General features: G+C 50.1%; 1 protein-coding gene across 3 annotated transcripts in view, besides 2 other annotated features; it reads right to left on the minus strand.

Moving 5' to 3' along the window:
* The window catches only part of ITGA11 (integrin subunit alpha 11), a 135,632-nt gene that overhangs the window by 64,585 nt on the left and 46,298 nt on the right, over positions 1 to 24,749 (minus strand). Inside the window, exons 3-5 of one of the 3 annotated variants that reach the window (NM_001004439.2) lie at positions 8,068 to 8,168; positions 3,591 to 3,682; positions 474 to 588 (exon numbers count right to left, since the gene is read on the minus strand). In NM_001004439.2, coding sequence (NP_001004439.1) covers positions 474 to 588; positions 3,591 to 3,682; positions 8,068 to 8,168 — 308 coding nt within the window. The other 2 variants (XM_005254228.4, XM_011521363.3) reach the window with 2 other exon arrangements.
* Positions 3,673 to 4,872: an enhancer, noted in NCBI's record as "CDK7 strongly-dependent group 2 enhancer chr15:68657127-68658326 (GRCh37/hg19 assembly coordinates)". NCBI's record gives its function as "activates an origin of replication core promoter dependent on BRD2, BRD4, P300/CBP, MED14 and CDK7 cofactors, with strong dependence on CDK7, by STARR-seq in HCT116 cells {active_cell/tissue: HCT116}" and the evidence as "EXISTENCE:reporter gene assay evidence [ECO:0000049][PMID:35650434]".
* Positions 8,819 to 9,320: an enhancer, noted in NCBI's record as "H3K4me1 hESC enhancer chr15:68662273-68662774 (GRCh37/hg19 assembly coordinates)". NCBI's record gives its function as "activates a minimal SCP1, AML or CMV promoter by ChIP-STARR-seq in primed H9 embryonic stem cells {active_cell/tissue: H9 hESC(primed)}" and the evidence as "EXISTENCE:reporter gene assay evidence [ECO:0000049][PMID:30033119]".

Consider the following 24,749-nt stretch of genomic DNA (forward strand, 5'->3'; position numbering starts at 1 on the left):
CTGTCCAGGAGCACTGATTTGGTGGAACTACTACCAAGGAGATTTCTGTTCTCCCTGTTCCTTCATCTACAAGGCTACTGCATTGCACAACATCAGGGGGCGCCATTCATATGTCTAAGTGAACAATTCCCCCAGAATTGTGCAGTGCACAGCTTGTCTGCTGCATGTGCTTGCCAGGTAACCTCCTATATACCCAGGGTTTCTGCAGTGAGCCTCCCTTGAGGCTGGGATTGTCTTTGAAACCTTAGCTCATTTGCTCTCCACCATCACACTTGGGAGAGGGAGGCCAGGATTATGACTCCCACAGAGGCCCAGAGAGTGGAGTGATACATTCCAGGTCATCCGGAGAGCTGGGGCAGGACAGTGCTAGAGTCCAAATACTGCTTTCTAGCCACAGGTTGTTGTGCTCAGGGCCCAAGTCTCTCTGGACTGTCCACTGCTCAGCTTGAGGTTGCAGATTTGAAGCCACTTACTTTGGAGAGCTGGGGCCACGGTCTTGGAGAACCTGAAGTTGGAGTTGACTCTTGAACACATCCCTGTGGTGTAGTAGGAGCTCCCACACTCATGAGACCAGAGGGGGCTGCAGGCCTGGGGAGGGCAGTGCAGATCCCCAGTCAGTGAGGGGACCTCAGAGAGGATCGAGGTCCAATGGCCTGAGGCCCACTCCCATCCTCCACGACCCAAGACAGACTTCTATCTGAGGGGTGAGGGGGTGAGGGATCTTCTTTGGGTCTAACTGAACTCTCTCTTGCTGCAATGTGTACTAGTTCCTTTGGTTTCAGGTCTAATGGAGAAAAACTGATCTTGGAGTCTCTTTCATTGTTTTTTCAAGGCCCTGTTCTCCATCTCATCATTTAGGAATATGATACTTCTTCACCCTACCTGCCCACCCCACTCACCCACCCACCATACGGGATCTGGGGAAGCCTTTTCACCCACGGGTGTGAACACTTCAAGGGTCACTAGAATAACTCCTCTGTCTGAGAGGTCGCCTGAAGGGCCTTACTGGGCAAACTTCTAGGACTGGGTCCCAAAAACATGCCATGGCTCATACTGGGGCAGGGGAAGATAAGAATGTCTGTATTCTTTCTGTGAAATGTTCTACCAAAAACACTGATGTCAGTCCCCATTGAAGGACTGAGTGAAGGGTTCTTCTCAGAGTCATTGTCATTAAAAATGAAAGCTCAGCTCCATGCTTCCATTGTTATCCTGCTATCAGGAAACCCAGAGCTAAATTTTGTGCTGTAATTTCCTTTGGTTTAGGGGAGTAATTATTCTACTTCCGATCCCTTTCTTTAATTACTTTCTTTTTAAGCTCAGATCTTAAAGGTTATGTTTTATCTGTGTACTTTGTTGAAGCTGCTGTACATAATGTTTGGAAGTGGCAGGGGACAGAGGGGAATAAAGAATGGATAGATGGATGGATGGATAAGTGGATGGATAGACAGATGATAGATGGATGGATAAGTGGGTGGTAGATGGATGGATGAATGATGTATAGATGGATGGATGAATGATGTATAGATGGATGATGAATGGATGGATGGATAAATGGATGGAAGATGGATGGAAGGATGATGGATAGATGTGAATGGATGGACAGATAGATGAATGGATAATGGATGGATGATGGATAGTGGACAGATGATGGATGAATGGATGATGAATGAATGGGTGAATGAATGATGGCTGGATAGATGATGGATGAATTAGTGGATGGATGATGGATGGATAGATGATCCATGTATGAATGGGTGGATGAATGATAATGGATGGATGATAGATGGTTGATGGATGAATGGGTGGATGGATGATGGATGAATGGATGATGGATGAATGGATGATGGATGAATAAGTGGATGAATGACAGATGGATGATGGATGGTTGATGGATGGATGGATGATGAATTGATGGGTGGATGAATGATAGATGATGGAGGTTGATGGATGGATGCAGGAAGGAATAAATGGAAAGATGGATGATTACATGGGAGATTGATGGTGGATCGATGTATAGACAGATGGGTAGATGAATGCATGGGTGGTTGGATAGATGAATGGAGGAATGAATTGTTGAGAGGGGAATGGACAGATGAGTGAATCAATGAACAGGTGACTATCTATAAACCAAGGATTAACCTACTCACAGAGGCCCCAGAGAATATATCACACCATTCCTCTCAGACCTTCATACCACCTTGTGAAGAAGAAATGTGATAAGGAGCCTGAGAGGGAAAAGGGAGTAGAGACAAAGCCCCTGACGGATATGTGTGTGGATAGGGCCAGGGGTCCTGCTTTGCCTCTGGTTATGGCTAATAAAGGGCTGTGGGCTGAATATACATCAAGGCACCTCATGACTTTCCCTGGCAGGGCCACTATGCACTCAAGTCCCCTTGCATCCCAGTCATCGTCTTATCTTTATGTCTTATTTGTCTTATCTAATTTGTCTTGTGATTCATGCCCCAGATGTCTCATTTGTCAGCAGAAATAGACCAGAACAAAGACTGACACAAGCACCCCATCTAAAAATGGGCAGTAATTTGTACTGGGCTTTCTGGGGTAAATTTTCTCTGAAGTCCTCTCCTGCAACTGTTTCTAGGAACCATCAGTCTCAGAAGGATCCTGTTTGAACCCCAAGCATCGCCCATACTCAACGCAGCTCACTCCAAGGTGGTGGCAAGGAGCAGGCAGTGCCAATCCATTGTGCCGCCCACACTCACTACCATGTGCAGAGTCCATATGTGCTCACCTGGGCACAGAACAGAGACCTGTAAGCAGAGCCTGCTGCTGTCTGTCCCCCAAAGTCCTATTAGACATTACTCGTTTGCTTGTCGCCTCTCTTTCCACCACAGTGTAAGCTCCAGCAGGACAGGGTCTCTATTCATTGCTGAATCCCGGTGCCCAGCACTGGGCTTAGCACATACTATGGTAAGTGCTCAGAAACATCATTGTTTAAATGAATGAATGTTTCTACCACCTCAACCCAGACATGCCCTTTTCTTCCTTGCGAAGGCCTGTCTCTTCTTTAAAAACAAAACAGAAACCTCCTCCAGCCTTCTTCATCTAATCCTGGATAGTTGAGACGGCTTGTCACTCTGTAGCCCTTCCCTCGGCTGTGGTAGTCTGTGTTTACTCATTTATGGCATCCCTTCCAAGTCTTCTTTGGGTGTGTGGTGCAGCCTGCTTCTTTTTTCAAGCCTAGAGCAGAGATTTGACCTCCAGCCCAGACAACTAGCTCCCCAAGGAAAGGGACAGTCCCCCACCAGACTTGTTGGCTATCTACATTTATTCTTGTCCCCTTTCTGGCTGTTCCTCCCTCCTTCGGGATATGCACACAAAAGGGCTCAATTGTTTCTTCTGCCTGGACTGTCCCTGCCAAAACACCCAGGGCCCTGCCACCCGGAATGGCATAAGCAGGGAGCTGGCGGGGGAGCTGCTTCCTGGAATGCACAGGGCCAGGCAGCTTGGTGGTTGGAGTGGGGGAGAGTGGGTGTACAGGATGGACATGAGGGTGTGTAAGGAGACGCTCCACCCCTCCCCACCCCCACCCCTGCCTCTCCTGACCCCAAGCAGTGGCAGGTGGCTCTTACCAGGAAGCTGTTGTCCTTGGGGTTGGTGGCGAGACTAAGGCCGAGGCGCATGTTGTCTTTCCGCTCGGACACGTTGGACAGGGTGACCCTTCCTGGGGTTGGGGGAGAAGTTCAGCTTGCAGCCCCCTCCTGCCCGCCCTCTGCCCAGAGCCTGCTGCTGGTCTGGTCACCCGAGGTGCCTCCCCGATTCTCCCTGACCCTGGGGACCTCTGGCTCTCAGGGTTTACAAAGGCCTTCCCCAGACGTACTCTCAGGACATCCTCACAACTGCCTGTGAGATGAGAAAACCGAGTCTCAGAGAGGCCAAACAACCTGCCCAAGGTCACACAGTGAGCACTCACCGAGCCTTCTATCTCCTAGCCCACAGCTTTTCCTCCTCCAGCCATCCGACTGGAGCCCCACTTCCCCGTGTGCCCCCAAGCATGCCATGGCATCCCACCTGGGCTGGCTTCCTTTGTGCAGTATCCCCGCTACGCTTTCTTCCAAGTTGACCCCCATCCACACTTAACCAGTCCTGTGCCCAACTCTTTCTGTGCCCACTTCTCTGCTCATCTGAACAATCAACATGTGACAGCTGAGAGTTTCCTCTCATGGGTAACAGAGCCAACTCAACGAGAGCCTTCCAGAGCTGCCAGGCCTTGCCCAGGAATGCCATTCTGAAGGAGGCTGCCAAGAGAGGTGCTTAGGAGCTGGGTTATCAGCCTGCTGGGAATAGGGAGAGGGTCAGCTCTGCGGCAGATTAGAATCATAAAAAAATTGCATCGCTTAAGGTTTTACCAGATCATCCTGGAGGCCACCGAAGGAAAGGAAGTGAGTCTGAATTCCCCAGAAGTGTGTTGGGGTGTGTGTGTGTGTGTGTGTGTGTGTGCACGTGTACAGGAAGAGGGAGTGGGAGAGGCTGGGGAGCTAGAGTGTGCAAGCCCTAATATGCAGTGTGGACAGCTCTGGGTGGCTTCCCTGCCTGGGGAAGGAGTAATTTCTTTTCTTTTCTCTTTTCTTTTTTTTTAATTTTCCCTTCCCTCCCCTCCCTTTTCTTTTCTTTTTTTTGAGGCAGGGTCTCACTGTGTCACCCAGGCTAGAGTGGAGTGGCACCATCGTGGCTCACTGCAATCTCCAACTCCCAGGTTCGAGCAATGGGAGGAATAATTTCTAAGGAGGCCTTGAGCAAGAATGGGTTGCATTGCACTGTGTCGGTGACTGGAAGTGTGAAGAGTCGGCCTGGCTCCCAGGGCACACAGGTCAGGAAGGCCAGCTGGTGCAGGAGTCTGGGGGTGGGCCGCTGGCAGAGCCCAGCTTGTCAGACACAGACTGTTTTGTGGACTGGAGGGTAGGGGCAGCTGTGTTTGTTGTTTTTTCCTTTTTGGTTTTCCTCAGTTTGAAGCAAGGCTCCTTTTGAAATCTGCCCTTCTTGGCTGTGCTAAGAATGACTGGGCTCGATTTCTCTTTTGTCTGCCCAAACAAGCTGGAGAGAAAATAACAGTAAAGCCCCGGTGTTTCTGAGATGCCTTATCATCTACAAAGCACCGCGCACACCTGCCCTTTCAGGACCCCTCACGGTCCTGGGAGACCCAGGGGTCATCATTTCCATTTTACAGATGAGAACATTGAGGTGTAGAGAGGGTTAGTGACTGCCACAAGGTTACCTGCTGGGAAATTAAAGAGCAAGATCTTTAGCCCAGACCGTGTGACGTTTCATCCCGAGTTCTGTGTTTTCTCCCATCTGATGGCATCACGGTGGCAGTGGGAACTAGAGGGGCGGCTCCATGCTCCACTGGGCTGGGTAACCCTCGCCCCCTTCTGGCTAGAATTCTGCCCTCCGTTTATTTAAGGAACGCAGACCTCACCACCCTGCCCCTCTCCTTCCTCCCTCTCCCCTGGGACTGATGTTTGTAGTGAAACTGTGCAGCTGGCTGAGACAGAGGGGCAGGGGAGGAAAAATCCCTGTGTTGGAGTTAGACAGACTCAGGTTCAAGTCTTTGCCCAACCCCTCTGTGAGCGGGAGAGACTCACGCCTTCCTCAGCAGGTCTGGGTGAGGGTCCCGGGCCCAGATATCTCCCTACACAGGCCCTGGCTTTGAGAATCACATCACCTCCCCCAGCCCCTGCCCCTCATTGAAAACCCTGACTTTATCCAGGTGTTGGAAGGACAGTGCCAGTGGTAGAGTCTTTCCCACAGAGGTGTGAATGGCTGACACCCACTTAGCCTTCCCTGGAGAAAAAGGAAAGAACATTCCTGGCATCGTGCTGCCCAGTGCCTGGAACGGCCGTAGGAAAACCCAGGACTCAGGTTTCCCAGCCTTGCATTTTCCACTGTGGGGCAAAACTGACAGATGTTCTTTCTGCCATGCATTTTCTTCTCAGTGGGAGAGAGAGAACCACACCTCAAATGAAGAGTAATTTTCCTCCATCCCAACTCACTTTGCTACCCACTGCCTCCTAGGCTTGTGCCCCAGCTCAGAAATGCTTTCCAGGGTCTCATGGCTTTATGTCTCCTCCTCCCTCTGGAGAGAAATGGGGTCCACATTGCAACAGAGAAAAAAAAAGATTGGTTCACGAATCCACGTCCCTGCCTGGACCAGGAGCTTCTCTTGGTGGCTGAAGCCCTGAGAAGACTGCCCACTCTTCCACCACACCCCAACCTCATTGCCTCTGTCCCAACCACATGGCCTTTCTTTATCTTCTCCAACAGGGCAGACTTGTTCCTACCTTAGGGCGTTTGCACTTGCTCCTCCTTTGTCTGGAGTGCTCCGCCCCCACCTGTAACCTTCTCAAAAACTACCTGCTCAGAGAAGCCTTCCCTGATCACCTTCTATGGTAGAAATCCCTCTCCACTTCCATCACCCCCTAGCCACTCTTATTACAGCACCTGGTTTATTGCACAGCATTGATCCCTGCCTAAAACTATCCTGCTTCTTAATTTGCCTACCCGATTACTGTCCCCTTCCTTGGCCTCTTGTTCCCCACCATATCCCCAATAAATAGTACAGTGTTTGGTACACTCTAGGTGCGCATTAAAGGTTCGGAAACAGATTAGACCTGGAATGGATCCTAAGGGTTGTCGAGTCCAGCCTCCTTGCTTTACACACGAGTAAACTGAGGCTCAGAGAGAGGATGTGAACTCCGCATGGACACACAGCAAAGAATTTGTACAGCTGGAAGGGGACTCCAGGTTGGCCAGTTTCAGAAGCCTGTGTTCTCAGGGTGCTGATGACCTGGAACCATATGCCACCAACCAGGCACCCTCTTCCCTTAGACGATTTCCTCACTGAAGTTTGGGCCCCGGCTATGCTGGGTTTTGAACTTCCCACCCATGGTGCTGATGCAGATGTGGACAGCGGGAGCCTCCGGGACCATGTGACAGACAGCTGGCTGCCCTGGGGAGTTCTTTGGGCTTTCTTTTGGATGCTGACCTTTTCATCCATCAGCTTATCTCTTGAACCTCTGCCATTCCCGCCCAGTGAGACCCTGCTGCCCTTCCCATCCCCCATCTCCCAGGGAGACCCACCCCACTGCTCTGGGGTGGAGACCCCGCTCCTCGAAGGAGGGAGGCCCAGGGTCCTGGCCCTAGGGAAGTCCAGTCCTCCAGGGCAAAGCCTAGAATTGCAGCTTGTCAGCCAAAATGGAACTTTTTCTCCCTTCTGAGAGCAGAGCAAGCAATGACCCAGCTGCTGTCTGACCTTTAGGACAAGTGGGAGCACTTTAGTGGACTGGTGTGTGTGCTTAGTGGATACACATTTGCACACACATAAGCAGATACACACATGCATGCAAACACACACGAGTAGATTTTAGGAGGGCTTCGGAGGCTGGGGGCTGTTCACAGCATCTCCCTGTTCCAGAATATGCCTGAAAGCTCTTTGGCGAGGAAAAGCTTGCATTTCCGAAGGGCAGTGCTGCATGGTGGTTAAAGGGAGGCCATAGCCTGCATGAACTGGACGCCAAGCCCTGCTCCTTGTGAGCTGAGTGACCCCGGGCAGGTCCCCTCACCTCTGTATGCTGTCATTTCCTATCTGTTAAATGGTTAAATCCCATATGGGTGTTGTGAGGATTAAATGAGTCCAAATGTGCCTCACACATGGTGAACATTATCGAAGATATCTGAATGTTAGCTATTGTTGTTATTATTTCAAAATCAGGAAAAAGACAGGAAGTCCTTTTTTTTTTTTTTTTCTCCTGGGAGAGAAAACTTTGAGTTGAAGGGCAGTGGCTGAGTCAGAAAGAGGAATGGCCTGGGACAGCTAGGGCCTGGGTTGATTCCTGGTGAGCCCCTGGCAAGCTGTGTGACTGTGGAAAAGTTGCCTCCTCTCCCTGGCCTCAGCTTCCTCATGTGTAAAGTGGGGGCAGTGATATCAGCTGGGTCATCTCATGGAGTAGCAGGAAGGAGTCAGTGTGACCATGGACATGGGCGTGCATCAGAGCCTGCCTTGTGTTAGACAACCGCTGGCCTCATTGTGAAGAGACCACCAGCCCACGTTACCCAGGTTGAGTTTGGTGCAGTTCCCGTGGATCACTGGACACTTGTACACGTCTCCCGTCTTCTGGTAGCCATTGGTTTCCAGTGGGGCGCCCACGACCAGCCTGGGAAGGAAGAGAAGATGAGCAAAGACATTGGGGGAGGTACTCTTTCCTGGCAGAGGATGGAGCCTGGTGGGCAGTGTGGAGGTGAAGTTGGGTGGGGAGGGTGGGAGGGAACCCTGGAGGTGTGACCACATGCAGACCCTCAGGCTGGGACCACTGTCTCCCTGAGGGAGGGATGCTGGGCTTTCAGCATAAAGTCATGGGACCTGTGGCCCATTCTAGGCCCTTGCCTAGGTACAGAGATGAAGACCACATGGGCTCTGCAACAAATGGGATGGAGGCAAATCCCTGGTAGAGGAGGGGGCGATGTTTGAGCTGGGTCTTAAGGGATGAATATGAGTTTGTCAAATGACGAGAGAGTGGTAATGGAAGTCATTCTGACAAAGGAATGATGTTTCTGGAGCCACAGAGTCTTGACCATCTGTCATTACCTGAAAGGGCCCTCATTCTTCATCTTACAGGGAAGCCTTAAAGCTGGTGCCCCAGAGTGGGTCAGGGTGGACAAGGCAGCCAGTGGGCGGAAGCTGCCATGCAGCTGGGGCTCCTGCCTTGAGCCAATGCCTTTGCAACCTTCTTTGGAAAAAGTGTCTTTGCAGATGTAACTAAGTTAAGGTTCTTGGGTTGAGATCATCCTGGATTATCTGGGTGGACCCTAAATTCAATGGCAAGTGTCCTGAAGAGGAAACACAGAGGAGAGACATGGGGAGAAGAGAGACACGAGAAGACAGAGGCAGAGTTAGGAGATGCTGCCCCAAGCCAAGGAGCGCCCGGGACCACCAGAAGCTGGAAGAACCAAGGAAGGATTCTCCCCCAGAGCCTGCGGAGGGAGTGCGGACCTGGTGCTGCTTCCTTTCAGGCTCGTGTCCTTCAGGACTCTGAGGGAATGCGTTTCTGTTGTTTTAAGCCACGCAGGTTGTGATCATCTGTTATGGCGGCCGTAAGGAACTAACACACCTGGCTTACTTACTTACATGTACCTAGGGAAAAGTGAGCAGCCACTCCTTCCTGGCCCGGCCAAGCCCCGGTGGCCGTGCCCTGGAGGAAAAGCCTGCGACCCTGGAGGTGCGGCTGTGGACTCACCCCCACTGATGCTGGGGAGAGTTCTACCTCAGACTGGAGGGTCCCCAGGTCCTGTCCTTAGTGCTCTCCAGGGCCCTCTACGCCTCATCTCTCACCCACCAGAGAGCAGCCCCATCACGGGGGCCCAGAGTGTCCCAGGATTCTGACCTGCCCACTGGGTCTGTGGCACGTGACTCTGGCACACCTGGGGCCCTCTAGGCCTTGGGTGCCGGTCTGGCTCTCTGCTCAGGCCACATACTAACAGTGGCTAAGAACGGTAACCCTTCCCAGGGACAGCGGTACTGTGTGTGGGAGGGGACACCACAGCCCACAAGAGCCCCGAAAGGCTTTCGATCCCGAGGGATGGAGAACAGATGATGGTGGGATCTGGGGCACAGGGACAGGTTGGACTTTCTGGAGCTCTTTAGACCTTGCTCTTCCAGCAGCTTCCCACTGCCTGGTGACATGGCCCAAAGAAGAAGCCACCACATGCCAGCGGAGTTAGATGGTTGGGAGGAGGTGGCCGGGAGGCTCGGGCTGCATGGCACTTAAGTGGCTTCTTGTGGTCCATTGCTCTCCCTGCCCCGGTCCACCTTGGCGCTGTCAGGAAGGAAAGCCAGGTCTGAAGTGGGAGTTATAGAACTCTGTTTGAAATTAAGCGTCTATGAAATAAGAGCTGAGGTTTCTCCCCTGGGGAGCCAGATGATGGCAGATTCTATATATATCCCCTTATTAAGCCCGCCTATTTTTGACCGGCAGAAATTAATTGGACCCATAACATCTGTTTGTCTAGACGAGGTGATTTTTGGCTACTTAATTCTGCAAGTGATTGTGTGGTCAAGGCTGCTCCATTCTTGAGAGAGAGAGAGAAAGTGAGAGAAAGAAAGAAAAAGGTCAGTAAGAGAACCCTGGGCTCTAAGCTTACTTCTCTGGGGCTGCTCCAGTTTTCAAGGTTAACCTGACACGTGACCAAGTCTTCCTGAGGGACACGTTCCTCCCGGGCACTGTTGCCAGATGGAGGAGCACCTCTCAGGGTGCCTCTGGGAGAATCAGGCGCAGCATGTTCTAGATTAGAAAAGCCACGGCCAGCTGGGTGCAGTGGCTCATGCCTGTAATCCCAGTACTTTGGGAGGCTGAGGTAGGTGGATCACCTGAAGTCAGGAGTTCAAGACCAGCCTGGCCAACATGGTGAAACCCCCGTCTGTACTAAAAAATACAAAAAAAAGTAGCTGGGCGTGGTGGTGGGCATCTGTAATCCCAGTTACTTGGGAGGCTGAGGCAGGAGAATTACTTGAATCTGGGAGGAGGAGGTTGCAGTGAGCCGAGATCATGCCACTGTACTCCGGCCTGGGTGACAGAGCGAGACTCTATCTCGGGGAAAAGAAAAAGAAAGAAAGGCACCGAGAAACAGAAGGGGCCATATCTAGGCAAGCTATGCGCAAAGACTGGTGGCTTCCGAAAAGTCACGTGTCCTGGCAGTGGCTGAGATGGGACAATCTGGTAGTAAATTCACTAAGTCACTGTGACCTCAAATTTGCAATGAGACCGGTTTTGTCCTTTTCAAAGAACAAGGGCCACTCCCTGGGTCCCATCTCCACTCTCCCAGACCTCATTTCTCTGGGAGTCCATAGTACTTCATGAGGTAGGAGGGCAGGGCTTACTGTCGCCATAATATAGCTGCAGAAACTGAGGCCCCAAGAGGGGAGCTGACCCAGCCCCACAGTTGGTTTGCTGCGGGGCTGGGACTGGAGTTCTCCTGGGACAGCTTCCTCTGCATTGCCCCAAATGTTTCTTTGCCATGAAGAGAGGGCCTGGGTCAGCCCTTCTCTCCATTCTTGAGTCTGGGCATTACGTGTGCCTGTTGGGCTTGAGGTTTGGAGGACATGATTCAGTCCCAGTTTGAGAGGATAACTGCCGAAGCGCAGGGAAAATGTTCACGTCACCACTGAGACCAGCCAAATTGCCTGGGGTCTGGCAGCCCCTGCCACCCCCTGCAGCCTCAGGCTTATACAGCCTTCTGCAGCCTCAGGGCCTGCTACGCCTCTCGGGGGCTTGATACCCTATACCTCCTGGCGTGGGCACCAGACGGCACAGCAAACCCCAAAGGTCGTGGCGAGCATCCGGCCCTTTCCATTGGCTGTGTGCTGTGAGTCACTGGCTGCGGGCTCCCAGCATTCTTCCTGCGGAGGCGCAGGGAGCAGGGCTTCGGTGGATGGGAAAATGGGCAACAGACATTCCAGCCACAGCCCTGTAGGACCCTTTCCCTGTTGACCAACCTCTAAGAAGGGCCTTGCCAAGAGAGGATGGTCCCTGTGGAGACTGCACTCTGGAAGGCCGGACATGGCACTCTGGAAGCCCTCTGCTGGGCTCCTTGGCTCCCTGCAGGACCCAGACTAAGACAAAGGGCCCCTGGCTCCAGTGCCCTCCCACCTGACTCTACCTCACACCCTCTCCAACAAGGCTCTTTGGGGACTCATCCTGAATTCTGCTTATCCTCAGCTCCATTCTTCCAGGCAGTTTTGGTCTCTAAACTTTTAAAATTCAATCTCCTGTAAGAAAAAAGATGATATGTACCCCTAATTATGTGTAAGTGTATATGTAAATTATACCAGCATAAACTGTCCAATTTTAATAAACTGTATATTAAATGTTAGTAATTCTATTTTTTTCAGATAAAATATAAACCTAAATAGAACTCACATTTATTTTATTTCTGTACTGCAGTATACAGTCCAGCATAGTCCCTGTGGTGTGTGTACCCCACCCTGGAGATCATCCCTTTAAAATCCAGCATAAATTCCCACCTGCTCCAGGAAGCCGTCGGTGATTACCCTGGCCTTTCTCACATAAACTGGCTTGTAATCCCTGCTGCCTGGTGTGGCCAATGTTGTAGTGTCATGATTCCTTGAGGTCTAAGATGTCCTGGACTGCCCTACTGCACCAGAGTAGGGTGGTCCTGAAGGCACTCGGCAAAGAGGTGCCCAGTGACCAACCTAACCTTCTGTGTGACAGTCTGCAGCAGGAGCAACTGTGGGGGCTTTTGGCTTTGCCTCAGGCCTAAGAGAAGCCCCTGAATTCAATCCTTGGAAAGAGGGTTGTTGAGAAATCGAGTACTTTCCATGCATAGGAGTTCAATGGAGTGACCCAGCTTCCATGCTAAAGTCAATGTTGACTGCTTCCCTGGTTTCCATTTCCTCCTTCCCAACAGTACTCATTTCTGTTTGAGGATCCAGGGATTCTGACTCTATTCCCAGTTGCAGGGATGGAGCACATAGCTCAGGTTAGGAGAGTTTATCCCCCAGCTGCAGTGATTGAGTCAGGGTGGGACAAAGACTTAAATCTCCCCAATCAAGTGAATCTCAAGACTTGTGCTTGGGATGCAGGTAGCAGGGTGGTCTCTTTTCTCTGGATGCTGTAGTGAGTGAATGCAAGGCCTGGAACTGTTGGCAGCCACCTTGTGATGATGAGGGTTATGAGCTGATGCATTGACAGTGGGAGAGCTGAGAGAAGCATGAAGAGAAGGAGCTGAAGTCCTGCTGATGCTTTGAACCCCTGGATCAAACTGTACCTGCAGCCTAACTACCACTGGGCTTTTCAGACATAGGCTCAATGACTACCTTTTACTGCATAGTAAGTCTGTGAGTTTTTAGGTACTTATAACTTAAAACATCCTAATGTTTAGAGTGTACAAGGCAAAAAAGTGCACATAGTTAAAATTACTCTTAGAAATTCCATATGTTATTATGCTATAAGAGAAACATGGCAACCAAGACCAATGAGGGAGAAGCAGATTCATATCCCCTAGCTCATGCTCCACCTGGGGCCTGGACTTACTGAGTAAGTGGTGGGTGGAATCACCAGCACCATGTATATTATTTCTCTCTTGTTGTTTAACTGAATGCATAAAACTTTCCCCTGGCCTAGCCTTGTGGCAACAGAAACCCTTTTGTCCTGTGTGCATCCCACATATAACAGCTGCTTAGACAGGGAACCCTGCATTCCAGATGTTTCTGGTTACCTGGGAACAGGCCTCGAGACATCAGAGCTGGGAGGAAACATGCAGGTTCCTTGGGCCAGCCTCAAATGTGGGATCCAAGGCCAGGGAGAGAAGTGCTGTGTCTGAGGCCTCAGACAGGCAGTGGCAGAGCTGGACTAGTACACGGTGTCCTGACTCCTAGGGTGGTGCTTCCCCCAAGCCATGGAGGGCAGAAAGCCTAGAGGCAAGGGCTGGGGCTCTAGGCCCAGTCAGGCTTTTACAGGCTGTGTCTGTTGAGGCAGGCAGGAGCAGCTTAGCTCCCCAGCAGATGAAATGAGCCAAGGCCATGAATTGAGCTCACTGGATGCTAGGGGAAGGAAGAAGGAACCTCCAAGGATGAGCTTGCCTCTGCAGGAGATCCTGAGACCAGAGGCTGGCATGGACTGCCCAGGAAGGGAAGAATGTGGGTTCAATCCCCTCCCTGATGGGCCTCACAGCCTCCCTCTGCAAGGCCTCAACCTCACATCCCGGGAAATCCAATTATCATTGGTTATCCTTTTCATTTGAATGAATCACTTTCAATGCAATTTAATTGCACTTGATTTTGATCTCCAGGACAGCTTTGGGGCTGGCAGAGCAGTTTGTGTCTGAGGCTCAGAATGTAAGTATGATGAGCCTGCAGAGAGACACTGATCAGTTTCACAGCCAGGACTCCTCGTCCTGTGCTCTTTTTTTCATTGTGAAGAAGTGGAAGGCTCAGTGCTCAGAGAGGAGTGAGGCCTGTCCTCTCTAGGGCCAGCAGGGCCTCTCCCCACAGGAGCCTCTCACCTCTCTCCTCTCTCACCCCATTCCCTTCCTCACCTGTTCCTTTCTCTCAACACAGCCCCCGCTCCCTTAAACCCACATGGTCCCTTTGTCTCTTTTTTCTCCTGGCTCCATTTTCCTTTTCTGAAATCAGATAGGGGCATCAGGGAGGGGTTTCACTGGAGGAGCCGAGAGCTCGAGGGAACAAAGGAGAGATTATTCCTTTAGTGAGGCCTTTCTCTCCCTCTCTCTCCATGGAAAATGGAATCTCCTCCAGCCCCTGTGAGTTTGGTGGCTAATGGGTTCAAGATGGGTCTGGGGAAGCGCTGAGAGCAGCAAGTCCAAATGCCTGCCCAGTGGGGACCCCGGGGCTGCCCTGGCTGGGGGTTGGGTGTAGATGGAGAATCTGGCCCAGGACCTGCCCAAGGGGAGAAGTTGGCACCTGCAGGTCTTCCTGGACTGACTGCAGGGGCTTGTGGTTCACCTTGGCTCACACATCTGGTGAGGCCTGGCCTCGTGGGGGCTAGGGAAACGAGAGCCCCTCTGTTTGCACATCCCTTACTCTCCCTCCATAAAGTCCTATCAGACACTGGAAACCTTTGTGTGCATTTTAAACAGGGACATATACATGATGATTAATTTTATGTGTCAACTTGACTGGGCCACGGGGTGCCTAGATATATGGCCAAACGTCATTCTGGGTGTTTCTGTGAGGGTGTTTTTTGCATGAGATTAACACTTAGATCTGTAGGCTAAGGAAAGCAAATCACCCTTCCTAATGTGGGTGGGCCTCATCCAATCAGTCGAAGGGCAGAACAGAACAAAATGACTGACCCTCCCTTGAGAAAGAGAATTCTCCCTGGACCCTACCCCAGACCATCAACAGAGGCTGAAACTGGGGGTGGGGCCCAGCGTCTGTGTTTTCACAAGCCCTCTAGGAGACACTGATGCATGCTTAAGTTTGAGAAGCATGAGGAGTGTTTATATGGGGGAAACAGAGGCATGGCGACTCTCACTGGGCTCAAAGCCCCAGATCCATGCCAACAAAATCCACCCTCTTCACCACGCCTTCTGAGGCTCTAGATCACCTCATTGTTCTCCTCTCTTTTTTTTTTCACCTGGGCTGCTATAAACTGTGTGCACAGCCGGGTCTTCTCAGCCATCATTTAGGGCTCATCTTCAAGGCCAGCTCCCCAAAGCGGCCTTTCCTGAAGACCTGTCACCCCCTCTCTCACCAACTTGCCTTGTATTCCTCAAGTACTTTGTAGTGTCTGATGTTGGCTTCTTTGAATAACTTTTCATTGTCCTTATTTCCCTATAGGATTTAAGCCCCAAGGGAGCTAGGATCTTGCTGGTCAGGTGGGCAGCCACAAATATCCCAGCACCCAGAACAGCATCTGGCACAGAGTAGATCCTGAAATGCAGTTTTTGTATGAGCTGGTGAATCACCTGGCTTAGTGGGATGCCTGTGACCCAGTAGGCTGCAGCTTGGGACCACTGACTGCCAGCTGCTTGCTTTTGTCTTCCAACATGGGTTGACCCAACTGGATGAATAGAGCAAGCTCTGGCAGGGGAAGGCAAGGTCATTAACTGCCTTGGGCCTCAGTGTTCTCATCTACCCAAAGGGACTGAATATTATACCTGGTCTGCTCACCCTTCAGGGTTTTGAGGGGCAGTGGTTTCCACACTTGCTGGTCATCAGGATCACCAGGGGAGGTACAAATGCAGGTTCCTGAACCCCACCTCCAGAAGGTTCTGACTCAGCCAGTGTGGGACATGACCCAGGAATCTGCAGATCCTCTGGGGTGTACAGGCAGGATGGGAAGCCCTGTTTGAAGGATCTGCTAAGGAAGCAGGTAGGAGGCCCTCTGGCCAAGTAAAGCAGCACTTCTACCCTGGGAACTTTCACTGTATCTGGGGATCATGACCACAGCCATCTCTGACCATCTAGCGCACCCAGATTGATTTTATCTATTTATTTTTGAAAAATTTGTTTTACTTCTTTCGGTCATAAGAAAATATGTAATAAATAATCCTTTAATTGGTTCAAAAAATTCACTTATTTAAAAACTGTGATTCTTTGTGTATTAAAGGTAAAATACACATTTGTTATCTAGTGTTCATGTTGCAGAACTGTGCAAACTAATACTTTTGTTTTGTTTTTTTGAGACAGAGTATCGCTCTGTTGCCCCGGCTGGAGTGCAGTGGTGGGATCTCAGCTCACTGCAACCTCCACCCCGCTGGGTTCAAGCAATTCTCCTGCCTCAGCCTCCCGAGTAGCTGGGATTACAGGCATGCGCCACAATGCCTGGCTAATTTTTGTATTATTAGTAGAGACAGGGTTTCACCATTTGGCCAGGCTGGTCTCAAACTCCTGACCTCAGGTGATCTGCCCTCCTCAGCCTCCCAAGGTGCTGGGATTACAGGCGTGAGCCACTGCGCCTGGCCCGAAGTAAAACTTGAAAGCCTTCTCCTTCCCCTTCTCAATCCAGCCTTCTATAGGAAACTACTATAGCAGCAGGGATGCAGACAATCTAGAGGACATCCAGAATTTAAAAACTGGAATCACTCTACATATGTGGTTGTGTAACATGCTTTTTCCATTTAATTATTTTGTATGTGGACATATTTCTGTGTTAATATCTATCAATGCCCCCGTTGGACTGTGTGACTAGGGCTCCTGCTCTTGGTTCCACTCCAACCCTTCTCTAGCTGTGCCCCTTCCTATGGGGTGAGGAGTCCTAGGGGTCAAGGGGACAGGACACCTGGAGCCACTGTCCTCCCACTCTGGGTGGCTGGGATGCTGGAATCTCCTGCCCAAATAGCCTAGGCCTGAGTCCAGGGCCTGTGCAGGCCTCTCCTCTAGACCTGCCTTTCTGATAGAGAAGCATACTTCTGATGGTAGTAGCCAAGGAGTGGCCATTTGCAGGGCTGTAGAGAGAGCTTGGGTGTGCAGGCTGGAGTGTCTACATGTGTAATGTCCCCCAATTATTGAGAGAGAACCAGCGGTGGGAAGAAAAGATGGCAGGCCGTGGGCCAGAGCCTCTGTTTACTTTCTTGCCTCAGGCCCCTCAGATGTTAGAGGTGGGCCTGGTATAGATAGATAATATAGTTCTGCCTCATTCTTTATAGTGGCTGCACAGTGTTATACCGTTCTCCTGTTCAGGGATACTGAAATAAATAGTTTCATCCCTTTTTCTACTGATAGACGTTCAGGTGCTTTGAACAATTTTTCTTGAAGCTGGGCATGGTGGCACATGTCTATAATCCCAGCTACTAGGGAAGGTGAGGCAGGAGCATCAATTGAGACCAGGAGTTCAAGAGCAGCCTGGGCAACATAGCAAGACCCCATCTATAAAAAAATAAAAAATTATCCAGGTATGGTGGCATGTGCCTGTAGTCCCAGCTACTCAAGAGGCTGAGGCAAGAGGGTCACTTGAGTCCAGGAGGTCAAGGCTGCAGTAAGCTATGATCATGCCACTGCACTGTAGCCTGGGTGACAGAGAGAGATCCTGTCTCCAAAATAAATAAATAAATAAATTTCTATTGCATATCTTTTATCAATACTAATAAATAAAAGGCCTCCACACATAAGTAGCTATGGGTAGTCATGAAGTCGGTAGATACAAAGCCTACAGGCTACCCTGATGGCTGGACATAGAGGCGGCCCCTTTCAGCTTGGGCACACACCTGTTGACAAGTATCATCACAAACGTCAACTTCATAATCAACATTTGGGTCTCTGGTTTGCACTTGACAACTTTTAGGTCCACCTCAGCTGACATCCAAACAGTGCTTCCTTCCTAAGTTGCAGAAGTTCTTAGAAGAGAAGAGGGAAGAGTGAGGGAAGGTGACTGCAAAGGAAGTTCTCAACCCATCTGGAGGGAAAATGAGAACCTCAGCCACTGACTATGCGGAATAAAAGTAGCCAACTTGTGCCATTTACAGTGTCTGACATTCGAGTGTCAATCTTCAGCACCCCTCCCCATCTCACACCCCAGTGCCAGTCACACGCGGCTGCTCGTCTATCCGTTTCTCAACATTGCCTGCACTCTCTCCTTCCCACCTCTGCATGAGCAGTCTCCTCATCCCAAACTCTCAGTCTATCCCCATTCCATCCACCCTTCAGTGCCTCTTCCTCCAGGAAGCCTTCCTTGATCTCTTAGCTGAAAGCTCCTTCAATTCCTATGAAGCTTTGTCTATACCTTTATTGTTTGTGTCTTTTATCTCCTCTAGATAATTTGCCTGTAGATAGCAGAGAGAGAGAGACCCTGATCCATCTTCAAATCTCCCCCCAGCGCTGGTCAAATACCTTGCACACAGTCAAGGCTCAATCACTGTTTGTTGAGTGAACACATGAATAGACAGATAGAGGAAGCTGCTCATTTTGCAAAGACAAGCTGCATCTTCACTTTGCTTCTTGGGGTGTAACTGGCAGCACAGCTGGGCCGAACTCTTCTGGGTCCCATCTGCAGGTGGACAACCAGCCTTGGTGAGCCCTTGGCCCAGCTCTCTCAGGAAGGTGGCTGTGGTCTGTTCTCCCCGCAGAGAGGCTGGACATGCAATGTAACCCCTCTCCCATCTCTTTGCAAGATGCCTGACAAACCCTTGCTTATTTTTCCAAGTCATGCTCAGAGGTTTTTTTCTTTCCACTTTATAGCAGCTTTCTCCTCCAAAAATGAAACATAAACACAGCAATAGTTTGGACAGATGTTTCTCAGCAGAATGTACAGCTTTAATTTCTGGTATGTGTAGGTCTGACAGCTTCTCAGCCATTGCATGGTAGGAAGGAAAGGGGCCTAAGCATTTCCTGCTCTCTGATCTGGGCTGGTGTGCTTGCTTTGGCTCATAAATAGGATGGTGACTCTTTAAATGTGGCCAGTGAGGTGTACACACCCAACTGTCTCCAGCAAACCATGGCCAGGCAGGTGGTCCAGCAAGGAAGATATTCCCATTAGACTGGGGAAGAAAGCAAGGCCCAGAGAATGTCAGGATTGGCCCCAAATCACGTGGTCAGGTAGAGGCTGAGGCACAACTGGTACCCTCATTCTTCCAGCTGTGTCTACCAGCCACAGGGATTTGGGTAACGCAGAAAAAGGAGATGGCCTGGAGGTGAAAGGACAGATACTCTTTTCTTGTTCGTGGGCCTGTTGACATGTTCATGGCTATCTCTAACCTATCCCCAGATGGGCTAAGTGACCCACGGTGAGTCACCTGCCATCTCTGAGCCTCAGTTTCCCCATCTGTAAAATGAGGGACTTGGACACATTCTGTTCAAAGAAATAATTAATGAGCACTTGCTATGTGCTGGGCTCTGTGAACATAAAGATGAATGAAGCACAGCCTAACCCCTAGCCCAGTGAGGGCAGGGAGACTTATACCCGATGAATTTAGTGTGGAGAACATGCCGCAAGAGGGGTCTCCAGGTGTGGCAGGGCACAGAGGAAGGGTTCTTGCTCTGCTGTCTGGGGAGCCTTCCTGGAGGGGGCAACTCCTGGACAGAGGCTTGCATAATGAATAGGTGTCACTCAGGTGAAAAAGGGCTGGGGCTCACAGGGAGGGTCCCGCATGGTGCCGGCGCTCATGTGCATTATTTCTATGCTGCCTTCCATGATGAAGGCTGGGCCTGAGGTGGGATCTGGAGGGACAGACAATTCCCTGCCTTCATGGAGCTTGTGGCAGAGTCATCCTCAACAGGTTCATCCCTGTTCCTCCCTTCTGACTTTCCAAGTCCTCTCCCTTCTTGCCTCACTTGTCCAGAGAACTCTACTTAAAGTGGTCCTAAGTACAGACAGACGGTTGGATGCCTACATGACTGACAAGCACAGCATTGTCACCCAGTCAGGTTGCCCCTACCTGCTTTCTGGGGTTCTTAACTTCTTGCCATTGGTCATCCCTCTTTGGATTCAGGCACTGAGGGCCACTCTCAGTGTAAGCCTGGAACGGAGTTAACCTATGGATCCATGGGAACTCACAGACCTCTTAGAAAAAATTAAGTCAGTGATTCCAGCACCTGGCTGGGCATTAGACTCACCTGGGGATTTTGAAAATAGGGATTACCAGGCACCACCTCTAGAGGGTCTGTCTTTGTAATTCTTGGACTTGACTGAGATATCTGTATTCTTTTTGACCTTTCACAGGTGATTCTGTTTTGTGGCCAGCTTTGGGAACCCCTGGATTATTTTATCAGGTGATCACCAGGCTTTAAGATGATGGAAAACAGATAATACGGGAATAGAGGACAGGATGCCCAACCAAGAAATAAACAGTGGGACATGTGTGCCTCTCCATTCAAAGCACTTTATATGAATAAACAAATAAATGGATGCATGAATGAATATTCTGGGGGGAGTTTATTAGGTACCAGGGATTGCGCTACAGGTATCCCTGACTTTGACCTAATCTTCTCAATCCTGAGGCAGAGACAGCATTCCAATTTTTTTTTTTTTTGAGACAGAGTCTTGCTCTGTTGCCCAGGCTGAAGTGCAGTGGCATCATCTTGGCTCACTGCAACCTCCACCTCCCGGGCTCAAGCGATTCTCCTGCCTCAGCCTCCCGAGTAGCTGGGATTATAGGCGCTCACTGCCATGCCCAACTAAATTTTGTATTTTTAGTAGAGATGGGGTTTTGCCATGTTGGCCAGGCTGGTCTTGAACTTCTGACCTCAGGTGATTTGCCCACCTTGGCCTCCCAAAGTGCTGGGATTATAGACGTGAGCCACCGCACCCAGCTACATTCCAATTTTGAAGCTGAGGAAACTACAGCACAGAGAGGCGAAGTCACCCAGCTAGTTAAGGGGCAGCTCTTCGGCCTCACTCTCCTACCCAGGCCTCGCCCCACCTCTGGGAGGTGGATGGAGTGCAGGAGCGCAGAGGACACAGAAGCCGGCCTTGGGTTGCATTAGGGAATCATTGTTTACATGGACTGCTTCGAAGTCTTTTCTGTCTGGTTCAAAGCTCAGATTTACTTTTCTCCTCTCCCTTTGTGTTGTGACAAATAGTCATTCTTATAGACTTATTCTTATTTCAAGAAGCCATAAAGAAACAAAAAGGCTGTGGGCTAGCTTCATTGGAGGGTGAAGTGTGTCATTACATTTTTGGAAATGTCCTCCTCCTGGGTTATAAAATCATTGGCTCGGCAGTTGGAAAGTGGCAGAAGAGAAATTGCAGAGAGGATCTGCTGTCACAGGGTGAGCCATCCCGGAGCTGGGCCGGGCCACCAGCCACCACTCACCTGGTCTCCTGCCTGAGTTCACTTTAGCGGGGCCCTTCCAAACTTTGCAAGGAAAATTAAAAAAAATAAGAAATCTCAACTTCTCCCATCCAGGGGCCATGGTCTCCAGACCCTTTAACACAAGGACATCCAGCTTTGGGCTTCCCCAAGATTTACCTTGGGTCACATCCAGACGTCTGGAACCATTCTCTCCCTCCCTTTCTTCTTCACCATCTGTGGGCCTATGCCAACCCCTGAAGAGGCCAAGATGAATAAAGGCAAGCCCTACCCTTGGGGGTTCACAGCCTCCCTTCCCTCTCTTCTCTCTTGTTGGCATTTTATTTTCCATCTCATCTTTCTTCTTTCCTTTTCCCATTCCAGTTTCCATTTTTCTTGATTGGCTTTTTCTACAACTCTCTTTCCATGTCTGTCTACATTATTGTCTCAAGGTGACTCATCACAGATAAACCAGGAAGAAAAGATTCAAGAGGGAAAGCAGGAATTCAACAGAAGATGACAGAAACCTTGTCAAGATGGCCTCAGGTTGATAACAAGCATCTTGCTATTGGTTATGTGTCTGAGTTTTGTGGTTGCTTGGAAGAGAAGGCACTGAAAAAGAAAAGCTATTTGAAAGAGTTTGAAATCCCAAGGAGCAGCCAGGCGTGGTGGCTCACGCCTGTAATCTCAGCACTTTTGGAGGCCGAGGCAGGCGGATCACAAGGTCAGGAGATTGAGACCATCCTGGCTAACACAGTGAAACTCCACCTCTACTAAAAATACAAAAGATTAGCCGGGCGTGGTGGCGGGCACCTGTAGTCCCAGCTAGTCGGGAGGCTGAGGGAGGAGAATGGCGTGAACTCGGGAGGCAGAGCTTACAGTGAGCCGAGATCATGCCACCGCACTCCAGCCTGGTCGACAGAGCGAGGCTCTGCCTCAAAAAAAAGAAAAAAAAAAAAAGAGAAATCCCAAGGAGCCCTTGATTCCTCATGAAGGAGTCAGAGAAAGTTAGAAAGAGGTATTTTATCCAAGCCTGCAGAAAACAAGGGTTAGATAGTGATTAATTATAGTTAAAATTAGTGAGAAAAGGCATTTATGGCACCTTCATTTGTTTTTCTAATTGTATATAACCTTAAAACATGCACATTGCACCTTGTGGTTTTCAATAAGAAATTCTGTTTTTCACATTTTATAGCCTAACTGAATGGAAGCACATGCTACCCTGAGTGATATCTACAGGAAGCCTCAATGGTTGACTAGAGGAGCCATTGGAGGGCTATCTTGCACCCCCTAGTGTCAGTTATGATCATTGCACATAAAGTGCCAAGGAGCAATTAAAAACAGTACCAGCCTTGAAAATTCAAACCTATGAAGTTATAGAAAGCCACTCTCAAGATACAGGGAATTTCAACATTTCTTTATTCTCCACCTCATGTGGAAAGCTCCCATTTCCTCTCCTTCACTGGACTTAGGAAGGATGTTGGCATCGCAGAACAAATGGTGTTGGCTGCAGAAATGGAAAGGAGGTTGTGGGGAGCCCACAGGCTGCTGTAGGGGGAGGCTGGTGGGGGAGTGGGAAGAGACGGGTGGCAAAGATGCTGAGTTGGCAAACCCCTCTGGCTTTCCTGAACTGCCCACGTTAAATTTATTTTCTTTCTTGGAAGTTAGTAACAAGGAGACTTTCTTTTCAATATTTTCACTACCGAGATTGTGCGTCTTACCTCTAAAAGCATGCAATGGCTGAACTCCTGCCTTTCCGAGTTCAGCACTAAGGACGTTCTATGGCCCTGAGGACTGGCCTTAGAGGCCTTAGAGGGTGGAGCTGAGATTAGCTCCATCTCTGGTTGACCAGTTTGTGTGTGTGTCAGAAGTTTCCTGGACCCTCACTGACATCTCTTCAATTTCTGGGACTTTCTTGTGTGGTTTGGCATTAAAAAAAAAAAAAAAGGAGACAGAATGAAAAAGCAAGGAGAGAAGAGGAAAAAAAATCACCCAAGAGATGCAAGGAACCTTAGGAGCTGTCTGCAGGCCACATCCTAAATCCACAGTGCCCCAGACTTCGCTCTTGGTTCTGGGGCTGCTGTGCTCTCCTTGGTCATTCTCACTGCTGCTTTGTGCATTTGAGGGCCTGAAGATGCCCCAGCTCCTGCCAGTGAGGACGAATGTCTGGATTTCCACTCTCCCAGCCCTCTGCAGCTCATTTTCTTCTTGTCTGTGTGTGCCTGCCAAGGTCTGCTGGGTGGCTTGGCCTGGGGCCCTGGGCCAACGTTTCCCCACGAATACAGTTTTTCCTCTCTCCCTCTCTATCTCTCCCTCTATCTCTCGTGCACTGGGTGGTTCATCCTATCCTGGGCTTCGCTTCTGTAGTGACTTATCCTTTAACCAGAATGAGTCATGATGCCGGATTTTATTTGTTCCAAGAGAAAATAGCGGAGAGCGTTTATGTGCTGTGGTGTTGGGAGCCTGTTCTGGGGGCCCAGGCCAGGAAAAGAGCAAAGGATGTTGCTCAGAAAGGCTTCCACAGCAACAACCAAGGCTGCCCCAGGCCTGGCAGCCTGCACTGTCACTGATGAAAAAGGGCAGACTTGTGTAAGATGCATCTTTCTGCTCAAACAACAAGCCCCAGAGGCCCTTTCCTCAAAACCTGTCCCTGGACACCATACCCTTTCTCCAGGGCATAGGCCAGTGTAGGGAACTCACTCATTCAGCCTCTGCCCCATGGTAGACACTTAAACACCATCTCCTATTTCTTCCTCATAAGAACCCTTTGGGATTCACATCACCATACCCATTTTACAGATGAAGAAACTGTGATCCAGAAAGTGGATGTGATGTGCTTGAGTTTCCATTGCTTGGAAAGTAGCCAAGCTGGGAAGGGAGCTCAGTTCTGTGATTTCGAAGCCTAGATTCTCCCTGTAGTGAGGAGCTACTCGGACATGCCTTTGCTGCCTCTGCTGAGGCAGAAGGCCTGTGTGTGCCCCGAGACAGCACTCTATGCCTGTGGGAAAGGACTGCAATGGGAGCTGGGAAACCTCTGGGTTGGGAGAGGAGGAAGTGGCAGTGCCAGAGGGCAACACTCTTGGGCCTAGGCTCCACGGCTGGTTTTGTGGATTTACTCTTCAGGGATTGCCTTTGCAGTCAACCCAAATTCCACCATAGTTGGCCTCTGGTTTTAGACATGGAAGACCCTAGTGAAAATGCAAATTTGTTATCTGGGAAGGTCAGTACCTAAACCCACTGTAAAAGGATGGATGCCTTAGCCCAACTAGAATTTAGTTTGGGTAAATATCATCTACAAAGTCTTGAGACATGAGATCTGCGATGGTGGGTGAACTGACCCTTGGGTAGTTTTCGCCTAAGTGCTTGTTATTCCCGGTGGAAATGCTGCAGAAATGGAAGCAACTCTGGGCTGGGGGCTGGGAGACTAGGTTTCAGTCCCGGCCCTCAAACTGACTTGCTGTGTGACCTTGGTCTGGTCTCTTTCTACCTCTGGGCCTCAGTGCCCCCATCTGTAAAATCATGAGGCTGGGGCA

The sequence above is a fragment of the Homo sapiens genome, chromosome 15, assembly GCF_000001405.40.
Source record: "Homo sapiens chromosome 15, GRCh38.p14 Primary Assembly".
In the NCBI taxonomy this organism is placed as follows: Eukaryota; Metazoa; Chordata; class Mammalia; order Primates; family Hominidae; genus Homo; species Homo sapiens.